Source organism: Homo sapiens, chromosome 1, assembly GCF_000001405.40.
Source record: "Homo sapiens chromosome 1, GRCh38.p14 Primary Assembly".
NCBI lineage: Eukaryota > Metazoa > Chordata > Mammalia > Primates > Hominidae > Homo > Homo sapiens.
Genome location: NC_000001.11, coordinates 188,017,995 through 188,029,974, shown reverse-complemented (window position 1 = coordinate 188,029,974; position 11,980 = coordinate 188,017,995).

Here is an 11,980-nt window from a genome sequence, read left to right as displayed (position 1 = left end):
CCAAATTGGAACATGAGACTATGCTACAGGAAATAGAGAAGCCGGTTTTCAATTATTTTAATTGATAATTAGTGACTGTATCTTCTTTATAATAGGTGATACATATATACAAAAAATTCTAATATGTAATGTTAAAGAGTATAGTGACTTTTTATTTAAAAAATTATTTTATGGCAGCAAGAGCACATAATATGAGTTCTACCCTGTTAATAAATTTTTAAGTATACATTATTACTATAGGTATAGTATTGCACAGCAAATCTCCATAGCTTATTCATTTCGCTTAACTAAAACTTTATGCTTGTCGATTAGTAACTCCCAATTTCCTTCTCCCCCCATCCCCTGGCAATCATCATTCCACTCTTTGATTCTATGAATTTGAATATTTTAGATGCTTATATAAGTGGACTCATGCAGGATTTGTCTTTCTGCAACTGGTTCAATATCACTTAGCATGGTATCCTCCAGGTTCATCCATGTTGTTGCATATTGCCAATATTTTCTTCTTTTGTGATGCTGAATAGTATTCCTTTGCGTATACATATCAAACTTTATTTATCCATTCATGAATAAATAAAGCTGATGCACACTTAAGCTGATTTTACATCTTGTGAATAGTGCTGCAATAAAAATAGGGGTGCTAATATCTCTTTGATGCTCAGCATCACTAATCATCAGGAAAATGTAAACAAAAACCACATATCAGGATGGCTATTATCAAAAAGAAAAAACGCAAGTGTTAGTGAGGATTTAGAGAAATTGGAACCTTTGCAAACTGTTGGTGGGAATCCAAAGTGGTGCAGCCACAAACAGATGGAGGTTTCAAAAAAAAAAGAAAAAGAAAAAAAGGAAAAGAAAACTATCATATGATCCAGGAATCCCACTTCTAGGTATTTATCAAAGAGAGTTGAAATCAGGACCTCAAAGAAGTATCTGCACTCCTATAATGACTTTCACATTAACTCAACACAGTTTTCTTGAGCAACCTCAAACTCCCTCTGTCATTTTCCCAAATCTGTTACTTTTTCAGTTATTGCAGGTTGGCTTTTTTTTTTTCTAAAAAAAGACAAACAGTCAACATTTTAGCCTTTGCAGGCTGTAAAGGCTTCTATTTTACTAAGATTTGCCAATGATTTGTAAAAGTAATTTAAAAGCTGAGCAATTGTAAAGCCATTTGTCACAAAAGTTCATTTTATTCACATAACTCATGAAAGTCAGTATGGTTTCATTATGGAACTGTTCCATCAATGATATAAAAACATTTTCATATTGTCAACAAAATAATTGTTGCATATGAAATTATTACTCAGCATACCTATCTATTAATTAAAGTATACACCTTAAAACCATTAAGAAATGAAGGAAATATAACAAAGTCTCACCGAATTGATTTTTAATATGGTTTGGTTCTTAGGTTCTTATTCTTTACAATTGCAGTTACTATATTGCACATTCCAATAATTGTTTATTATTTTATTCAAAACATGCTATGCATATAATGATTATACAGATACAGTAAATATTTATACCATTTCCATTAAATAGAAATATACTTAGAAAATAATGAATCCCCTCAGATTTCTGTTGGTAATTTAAAATATATATATTTTATATAGTGAAATTGAAATAAGGCAAAAGAACTCTTTTAACTGGCTATGACCAGATAATTATCTTTATATTCTACTTGAGTAAAATATAATAAAACCATATGACCAGATCAAAAACTTTGATTTTTTTAGATTTAATGTCAGCCTTAGTTTGGGAGTTAGATTGAGTAAAGACAATTCTGAGTATTGTTAGGGCATATCCTTATAAACACATTTCCTCTACTAACAACTACTTGTTGAGATATCATCAACTTGAGCAATATGTTCTTTCAGATAAATTCATTTAGTTATCTCTCACAAAATATTAAGTTCTGTTATATTATATGCAAAGATTTGTGCTAACCAACCTTGAATATCAGGAATGTCCTCAGTTTCAAGTAACTGTGAGTGTAGTGAAGAATGTAACTAAAATCTAAGCAGGAATTAATGAGGTGTGTAGGCAAAGGCATATGTTTTAGACAGAGGAACAGTGTGAATGATGACATGCCATCAACAAATATGTAGTGAGAGTTTTTTGTGAGCAAGCAGTGTTCTAAGAACTGTGATATGGTAATGAGTAACAGAATGAATCACTGCATTCACAAAGTTTCCATTCTTGCAGAAGGAGACAAACAATAAACAAATGAGCAAGAATATCTGTAATATGAGAAGCTACATCACACAGTGGACAAAAGCATAGATGCTTGAGACAAATTGCAAGGGCTTGAATCTCAGCTCTGCCACTTGATAACTCTGTAGTCTTGGGCTAATTCTTAACATTAGCTTGCCTAAAGTACCTCATGGGTAAAATGGATATAATAAAACTATCTCTTAATGCTGTTATGAGAATTGAATGAGTTAATATAGGTCAAATGCTTAGAATAGTGTGTGGAACATAATGTCATAGAAATCTTGCTTTTATTTTCAAGAGCTATGAGGGGAATAAGCAGTTTAAGGAAAATAGGGAAGAGTGTGTGATGTGGTAATCTGATAGAGGATCATCAGGGAAGACCACTCTAATTAGGTGACAGTTGAGCAGAGGTCTAAAAAAGGGTGATGAAACACACCACGGTGAAAGCTGGAAGAAGAGTGTTCAGGCAGCAGGGACAGCAAATGCAAAGGTTTATAGACCATTCTAAGAAGTTTGGCTTTTACTGACATTGACATCAAAAGACAGTAGAGGCACTGTGACAGCAAATGACATGATTTGACTTATATTTTAAACATATTGCACTGACTGCTCTATGGAGAATAGACTCTCAAGGATCAAAAGAGGAAGGTCTGTTAGGAGGCTATTCCAATAGTCTGGGAGAGAGGATGATAGCTTGAACCAGGGTGGGGCCAGTGATCACACAAAAAAGAAAAAAAAGTACGGGCATGGTGGCTCATGCCTGTAATCCCACCACTTTGGGAGGCTGAGGCCAGCAGATCACCTGAGGTCAGGAGTTCGAGGCCAGCCTGGCCAACATGGTGAATCTCTGTCTCTACTAAAATACAAAAATTAGCCGGACATGGTGGTGGGCGCCTGTAATTCCAGCTACTTGGGAGGCTGAGGCAGGAGAATCGCTTGAATCCAGGAGGCGGAGGTTTCAGTGAGCAGAGATTGTGCCACTGCACTCCAGCCTGGTTGACAGAGCAAGACTCTGTCTCAAAAACAACAACAACAACAACAAAATTCGAACTCTAAATTTTTATGTAGGTAGTTTTTAGGTAGATTTAAATTTGCATTTTCTCACAGATAGGGTTTGGGTTAAAGAAAGAGAAGTCAAGATGCTACCCAGGTATTTACCCTGAGAAGCCATAAAAATACAATTTTCTTTTATTAAAAAAGACTATTTGACAGATAAGGTTTCGAGCCTTCGAGAAAATAAAAGTTGCAAACAAGAGCAAAATGGTTAGTTTAGCAAGAAACATGGATTGGAAAAGGAAAGCAAAAGATATGCCCTTTATGTGCAGAAGTTTTTGAGGTGAAGCCAAGTATTTTAATTTGTAGATATCTTCAAATAGTTCTTTCTTGCTTGCTTCCTTGTTTTACTTCTTTCTATAGAAGATGATTTCTGTTAACTTTTTTTTTCAGCACTTTGTAGGTCGGATGTATTTACCTAATTGAAAAAGCAAGTATGACTTTCCATATGAAGGAAAACTTAATACCTGAATAAAACCAAAGCTATTTTAAAAAGATAGGCTTTATTGGAACCCTCTTGGGTTTTCTTTTTTGTACTTCTTAAGACAAACTACACGAAACACAGTGAAGAGGCCTCTCTGTTGCCACTTGTATATTTCATCCATATGGAAAATCTACTTCTGATCTTTTAGAATATCACAGACAGCATCTTAAAAACTTGTAAAGTATGTTGACTCACATTCTCTATAAGCTATCTGCTCAGAAACGTGTTATTCTTGAGTTTCTAGATTTTTATTTTCATTTAACCGTTCACTAAAATAATTTCAAAACATTTCTGTAGAACTTCTTTTTATTGTAACATAGAAAAACAAGTTTCCTTGTGACTTACTTCCTAGAAATAACTCTGAAAGCTATTGCTGAAAACCACAGAGTTTATAAAGTACTATGTTTAAAAGTTTAATAGTAATCTCTCTAAAAGATCAAGATTATTTGGTCAAATGTGATTTGTCATCAAATAACAGGACAGATATTATACTTTGTTGCAGTTTTTTTTTTAGAAAATGTGTATCTCGTTATATCTTTCAGAGCAAAAACAACCTGAGGAACCCAGGCAAAATTCCTTATAAAAATAGTAGTATTAATACAAAAGTAATGTAAAGGTTGATATTACAACCTTTCACATTGATAGCACCATTTCACAAATTTATATACATGTGGAGTAAAATGAAATCCTAAATGATGCAGTCCATTATTTGGTGACAGAAATGTGGATTTCAGACAGGTTTTAGAAACTGAAATTTACAATTACCACACTGCTATGTATTTTCATGTAGAACATCATCAAACTATTTAGAAAATTGATTGATTAGCTAAAAAATAGGCCAGAAGTATGTATAATGCTGTTAAATATCAAATATAGTGGCTCCATGTTTATTTACATAAATAAAGTGCTTTCAATTTGGACACAGTCTTAATAGCGAGTTAGTTAGATGGTTAACTAGGTTCAAACCCCTCCCCAATCACCATAGTAGTCTAGAACAAAAAGCTCTCCAATTAGGAATAATCAGAACAGGGCTGCAACACTATGCAACTTGTAAACATAGCCATACCTGAGACAATACAGAAATGGTTATAGGACATTAGAAAGGAAAAGCATATTAATAATTTTACAAAAATCATACATAGAATGGATGACTATTGCAGATTCAGCTATTTGTAAGTAATCCCAAAGGATCAGAACATGTAAAATTCTGATTTATTTGCTGTTTGGTGAACCAAATTCAAATAGCAGCAAAGAAATTGCAGTGTATAATTTACTGAAAAATACCAATGAATAGATTGACAGTGACACATGTGAAGTGGGATTTGAAACACTGAACACAGATTATACCAAGAGGTTGTTTTACATTGGAAAAAATAATCTGTAGTTAAGAGAGTAAATTCAGGAGTTAAACCAACCTACTACCTTCATGACGTCTACAACTAATTTTTCTATCTAGTGAGGGGAGAAGAGCAATCCTCTTTCCTAGAGTTGTTTTAAGTATTAAACATGGCAGATGAAAACATTCTCAATAGTTGCTGACAGTAATTGCTATTGTTTAGTACTTTTCCTTACTGGACAACATGACCGATGAATGCAGTGGGGTGCTGAATCATAAAGTTAGTCTAGTTACTTTTCATTATAACTAAATATGTTTGCCTCAAGTTTGTTTTGCTCAATTTTTTGACTCCTTTTATTTTAAGCTGATTATTTACTATTATGTTCCTTCATTCCCTATTGCCAAACAAAAAAGACTACAAATCACATACAAATTTACACATAAATCAATTTCACAAAACTTACACACGAAATAGTTTCTTAATAATTTTCAAAACATGAGATATATATTTGGAGAATGAGACAAAGTGAGAAAGAGGATCTCTTTTTAACTTCAAGTATGTGTAAGAACTAAAGATATCAAACATAGTAAAAATTCAATAAGGAATGGTTAAAGCAATATTTTTATTCTCAAAATTTAATCCATACCTTTAGTTGGCATCAACTATAAGTTTGCATACTTCTCATACTAAATTATAATTTAATATATGAAAAAATTAATTTACAAATGCAAAATGAGATTTAATTGAAAGAATTTATCTTCACCAAATTATCTTAAGTATCAATTTTATCCTTGTACTTCAGATTTGATTGTACCAAATACCATGGATATAGTCGTATAATTTTAAGTATAATTTCATACTATAAAATAAATAATCAAAAAGCCTATTTAAATAACTTGTTCTCCTCAACATTAGCACTTGAGATTGCTGTATTAGTAGAACTTTTGCATTGTGCTGATATTTAGAGAGAAACTACTCTGTGTCAAGCACTGTGCAATAAGAGACATTGTCCTCACACTCATTGAAATACAGCCTACATCAAGAATTGGGTACTAAATCAAGCTTGTCAAACCCACAGCCCATGGGCTGCATGCAACCCTGGATGGCTTTGAATGTGGCCCAACACATCTTAATAAACTTTCTCAAAACATTATAATTTTTTGTGACTTTTTTAGCTCATCAGCTATTGTTAGTGTATTTCATGTGTGACCCAAGACAATACTTCTTCTTCCAATGTGGCCCAGGGAAGCGAAAAGATTGGACAACCCTCTACTAAATAATCACACAAATGTGAAAATAAATGCATAGGATTCTATGCATATCTTTATGGTTGATAAAAGAAAGTGCAGCAAAGGCTTAGATTGAGTTGTCCAGAATGACCTTTATAAGGAAATAACTTTTAACTTGAGACTTAAAGAATGAGTAAGACTTAGTCAAGTGAAGGTATTCCAGGCAGAAGGAATAGCATGCGTGAAGGCTTGGAGTGGCTTTTGCAGATGGAAAGTGCTGCACTGTGACTACAATGCAGAGAATTCAAGAATGAGTGGTACAGATTTATCCTGGAAAGACAGGAACAGTCAGACCATATTGGGTCCTGCTGGCCACATCTAAAAAATATTAGTTTGGAACACCGTTTTGGTGTAAGGCATAAGAGTTAAGAACAGTTGCTGTATTCTAGGTAAATAATTTATTTCATTACCTCTTCCAGCTTCTAGAGCTTGCTCACTTTCCTCATTGTCTCATCTTATTTTGCCATCATGAAGACCATTACATTGCTTCTCTTTGGCCCTTTTTCATTATCCCCTCTCCAGGGATCTCTACCTCCCCTCCCCTCCCTATCCTTCCCCTCCCCTCCTCTCCCCTCCCCTTCTCCCCTCCCCTCCCCTTCTCCTCTCCTATCCCCTCCCCTTCTCCCCTCCCCTCCCCTCTCCTTTCCTCTCCTCTTCTCTCCTCTCCTCTTCCCCTTTATTCCCCACTCTCCCTCCCTGACCCCAGATGACTCATGTGCTTAGAGTGGGCTCACTATTATAATCCAGAAAATCTTACGTCAGAGTCTGTAACCTCAATCACATACCTATACAAAGTTCCCTTTGCCATATAAGGTGACATATTCACAAGTTCCAGGGATTCGAGCATGAATATCTTTGGGAGCCATTTCTGCTTTTATTGAAAATTATCTGGTGAGGAGAACATTACCCCATGAGATAATCTCTCCCAGACATGAAAAGGAAAGGTTAGGAATTCCTTCTGATGCTAAAAGAAGTAGGCTGTCATACGACAAAGATGCAATGATAGATAGATAGATAGATAGATAGATAGATAGATACATACATACATACATACATACATACATAGAGATAGAGATACAGATAGAGATATAAAACTCTCTCTAAATCTTCATCTCTATCTATCACTAGAGGGATGAGAAAGAATGAAAGTATAAAAAGTGAAAGGCCAAGTGATCTGTGAATTTCTTGATTACCATCCCTATACATTTTTTGGTACTGTTTTTGGTGTCTACCCCTAGGTAGTGTTGAAGCTCTGAACTGGGTGCTGGAGGATATGAGGAAGATCCGAACATTTTTCAGAGCTGGAGACAGAATGTGGTTGTTATTCCTCTTACTTCCTTAAAAAAAAAAGTGTCAAGTCCGTTATAGAATCTTTTGCTGAAATGGAGTAGAGCTGGGTGTGGTGGCTCATGCCTGTAATCCCAGTACTTTGGGAGGCCTAGATGGGCAGATCACCTGAGGTCAGCAGTTGAAGACTAGCTTGTCCAACATATTGTGAAACCCTGCCTCTACTAAAAATACAAAAATTAGCTGGGAGTAGTGGCACATGCCTGTAGTCCCAACTACTTGGGAAGCTGAGGCAGGAGAATCGCTTGAACCCTGGAGGCGGACGTTGCAGTGAACCAAGATTGTGCCACTGCACTCCAGCCTGGGTGACAGAGCAACATTCTATCTCTCAAATAAATAAATAAATAAATAAAAATAAAAATAAAATGGAGTAGAGTGGCTACAGGAAATTACAAATGACAGATTATGTGTTTGGGCAATGATATGACCTGGGACAGAAATTTGCCTGGTTCCCAGTCCAGTGGCTAGTGTAGATAATTTAAGAAATGTAGACATATCCATGAGTCCTTGAGTGGCAGAAGTGAAGCAGTCTGTAATCAAGAATCAGTTTGCCTTTCAGAGATACATATTAATGAGGGACAAGAACTATGCATCAGAAGTGATAGAATGAATACCACCAAGGGGCACATGGCTGATTTTCTCCAGGTCAAAAGCACAGAAAAATCTCAGGAGAAGTCTGTGGCCAGCAGAGGAGGTTTGCTGTTCTTCCCAGATGGCAACCAATGAGTATTGGCATTGCATACAGAACAGACTGTATGTTAACTGGGAAACAGGGATAGCAACAGGGATAAGTATCTACCATTAAAAATGGGGCAACAGAATCTATAATGAACTTAGACAAATCAACAACAACAACAACAACAAAATAACCCCATTAAATAGTGAGCAAAGAACATGAACAGGCACTTCTCAAAAGAAGACATATAATCAGCCAACAAACATAAAAAATTCTCAATATCACTAATCACCAGCAAGAACGGCAATTATTTAACAGACAAAAAAATAACGGATCTTGATGAGGTTGCAGAGAAAAGAGAATGCTTATACACTGTAGGTGGAAAGTAAACTAGTTCAGCTACTATGGTAAGCAGTGTGAAGATATCTGAAAGAACTAAAAATAGAATTAGCATTTGACCCAGAAATCCCATTATTGGATAACCCCCACCAAATAAATAATTCTACCAAAAAGACATGAGCATTCATATGTTTATTGTAGCACTATTCACCATAGCAAAAATGTGGAACCAACCTAGATGCCCATCAACTGGTGGACTGGATAGAGAAAATGTGGTACATATACACCATGGAATAGTATGCAGCCATAAAATGGAATGAAATCATGTCTTTGCAGGAACATGGATGCAGCTGAAGGACATTATCCTAAGTGAATTAACACAGAAACAGAAAAACCAAATGTGACATGTTCTCACTTATAAGTGGGAGCTAAACATTAGATACATATGGACATAAAAATGGGAACAATAGTAGAGATTTCAAAAGGGCAGAAGGAAAGAGGGGCAAGGGCTGAAAAACTTCCTATTAGGTACTACATTCACTATTTGGATGATGGGATCAATAGAAATCCAAACCTCAGCATCATGCAACATATACATGTAACAAACTTGAACATGTGTCACCTGAATCTAAAATAAAAATGAATAAATAAATGAAATAAAGAACAGGCAGCAAGGGGTAAGCAGGAGTCAGAAAAGAAGTGCCAGAAAGCTAAGTACTAGGATCACACATGAAATTTCCTTTGAAAAAAAGTTGCAACTTGAGGAAGGAAAATGTGTTAAGAAGAAATTCTGAAGGATGGAGAAGTTATAAAATGAAACTGAATTCACAGAGAGAGAGAGAGAGAGTGACAGAGAGAGAGAAATTAACTGTTTCAACACAAAGAGTATCCCTCTTCAAATTCCAACTCCATCAGTGACAAAAGAGGCTGTGGTTCCAGATGAAATCAATTCTAGAAAGAAAAGAAAGAAGGGTACTTTTTTTTACGGGGGAAGATGGGGTTGTTTTGTTTGTTTGTGTTTTAGCATATCTGAGCTGCTTAGACTTTGGCAAACTCCTGTATGTAGCAAATTCTCTTTTGGAAAATTGAAGTCAATTGAAAAATGCATTCTGACATAATCTTATCTTTTGCAAGACTAACAGTTGCCGCAGACCTACTTATTTAGCTCAAGGATAGTTTAATATTTTATTTAAAAGAACATACTTCAATATTTGCTCCTTAACTGCATTCTGTGTCAACAGCTGTCATTTCAGTTTTTGACATCAGAGTTGTTACTGCAAATTGACCTTCAATAAGTCACATAACCTCACCCAAGTAGATGATAAAGCTTTGAACAAATAATGTAACTTCATAGTGAACACTTCAGGTCCAAGAGTGACATGCAGTTTGTTTCATCATAAGATAGAGCACTGGATTTTCCTATGGAGTTAATTTTAAATCATCCTATTTTTTGGTAGACATTAGGCAACTTATATAATATTGTATATTAACTTTATTTTTGGGCTGTTTACAATGATCTGAAATTGTTGTTTATGATATTTATGAATTTTAAAACACTATGTTTCCCCTTACCTAGACTATATCCAAAATTTTGCAAATTGCTTCCCCTCTAAATTGCCAGAGTACAAAGAAATATCAAAATGGAGAAAGGAAAGAATTAATAAGATGTTCTTGGGTATCCAGATAAAATAACTATCCATTTTTTTTCACTACCTGGCTTGTTTACTGGATGTGAAACAGAGTTTACAATCTTAAACTTCCCTTAAATAAAATTGGAAAGCCTTAATTCTACCTCTTTCATGGTACTAAAAAACTTGTGAAGTTTATGAATTATATTTATAGTCTTTTATCTAAGTATTAACTACATCTATAAGGCAAAGTGAGACAGATGAACTTTATCTAATGAATAAAATATTAGTAAAAATGTTCTATAATCATTACACTAAACTTGCCTGATATGTTAGTTGACATCAAAACATTTAACTGGATGATGTACTGCTTGCAGATCCAAAGAAGTACCAAAGAAGAGGGCCCTCTATCCAGTAAGACCTGCCCTGTGATTGTACATGAAATGGTTATGGAGAAAGGGAAAAATGACTGCCTGATCATGAAAAATCATTAATTAAATCTGAAGGCACATTCGCCCTCAGTGATGCCATGTAAACACTGTGAAACTGAAGTTATCAAGTTAGTTTTGTCAACACTGGCATGTCTTAACAAAATTGCTTCAAATTATATGTTTGTATGCGTATGTGTCTGCAGGTAGGATTTTCTAGGAAAATCACCCTTTGGGTTTTGAATCTTGAGTCTTGTATCTGATGCATTAGAAGGAAATTTTCTTCCTTTGGCCACTATGCTATGTCTACATTATTGGGAGTCGGCAGGGATTTTATTAAAACCAAGTAAATGACATCTGATTTTAAATTTAAGAATAAATGCTATGTTTGAAGTGAAATAGTATGAACACCTTTGAACTACATATTATGTGTCAATAAATTATTTTTGCATAGATAACCCAGTCTTTAAATGTCTTTACAACCTCCAGTAGCCTAATAGCAGAAAGCTACCATTGGTGACCCTTTCTAGAGACTTTTCTACTTCATGCCATTCCTGCTGCTTCTTCTACCATACCTACATGAGACAGACACAGATTTTAAAGAACGCACAGGGAGCCAGGCACGGTGGCTCACACCTGTAATCCCAGCACTTTGGGAGGCCGAGACAGGAGGATCACCTGAGGTCAGGAGTTCAAGACCAGCCTCGCCAACATGGTGAAACCCCATCTCTACTAAAAATACGAAAAATAGTTGGGCATGGTGGCAGGTGCCTGTAATTCCATCTACTCAGGAGGCTGAGCAGGAGAATCTCTTGAATCAGGGAGGCAGAGGTTGCAATGAGCTGAGATCGTGCCATCGCACTCCAGCCTGGGCAACAAGAGCGAAACTCTGTATAAAAAAAAACAAAAAACAAAAGCAGGCTGCAGAATGGTTCTGTCTCGCCTTCTCTGTTGCCAACAGTGCAAGTCACATCCTGACTGAGGCAGTGAGAAGCTGGAACCTGTTTCTCTTCCTGGACCACAATTTCCTCTGTCATCCCCTCCCCACTTTAGAGTTATGGTTGGTAGGTAATGACATACCAAATAAATTGTGTTCTCTGTGGAAAGTCCAATCATTTAGAGAAAAATAAAAGAAGCGTATTTCAGTTTCATCTTTATAATTAGAAAATGAGTCTTTAATTT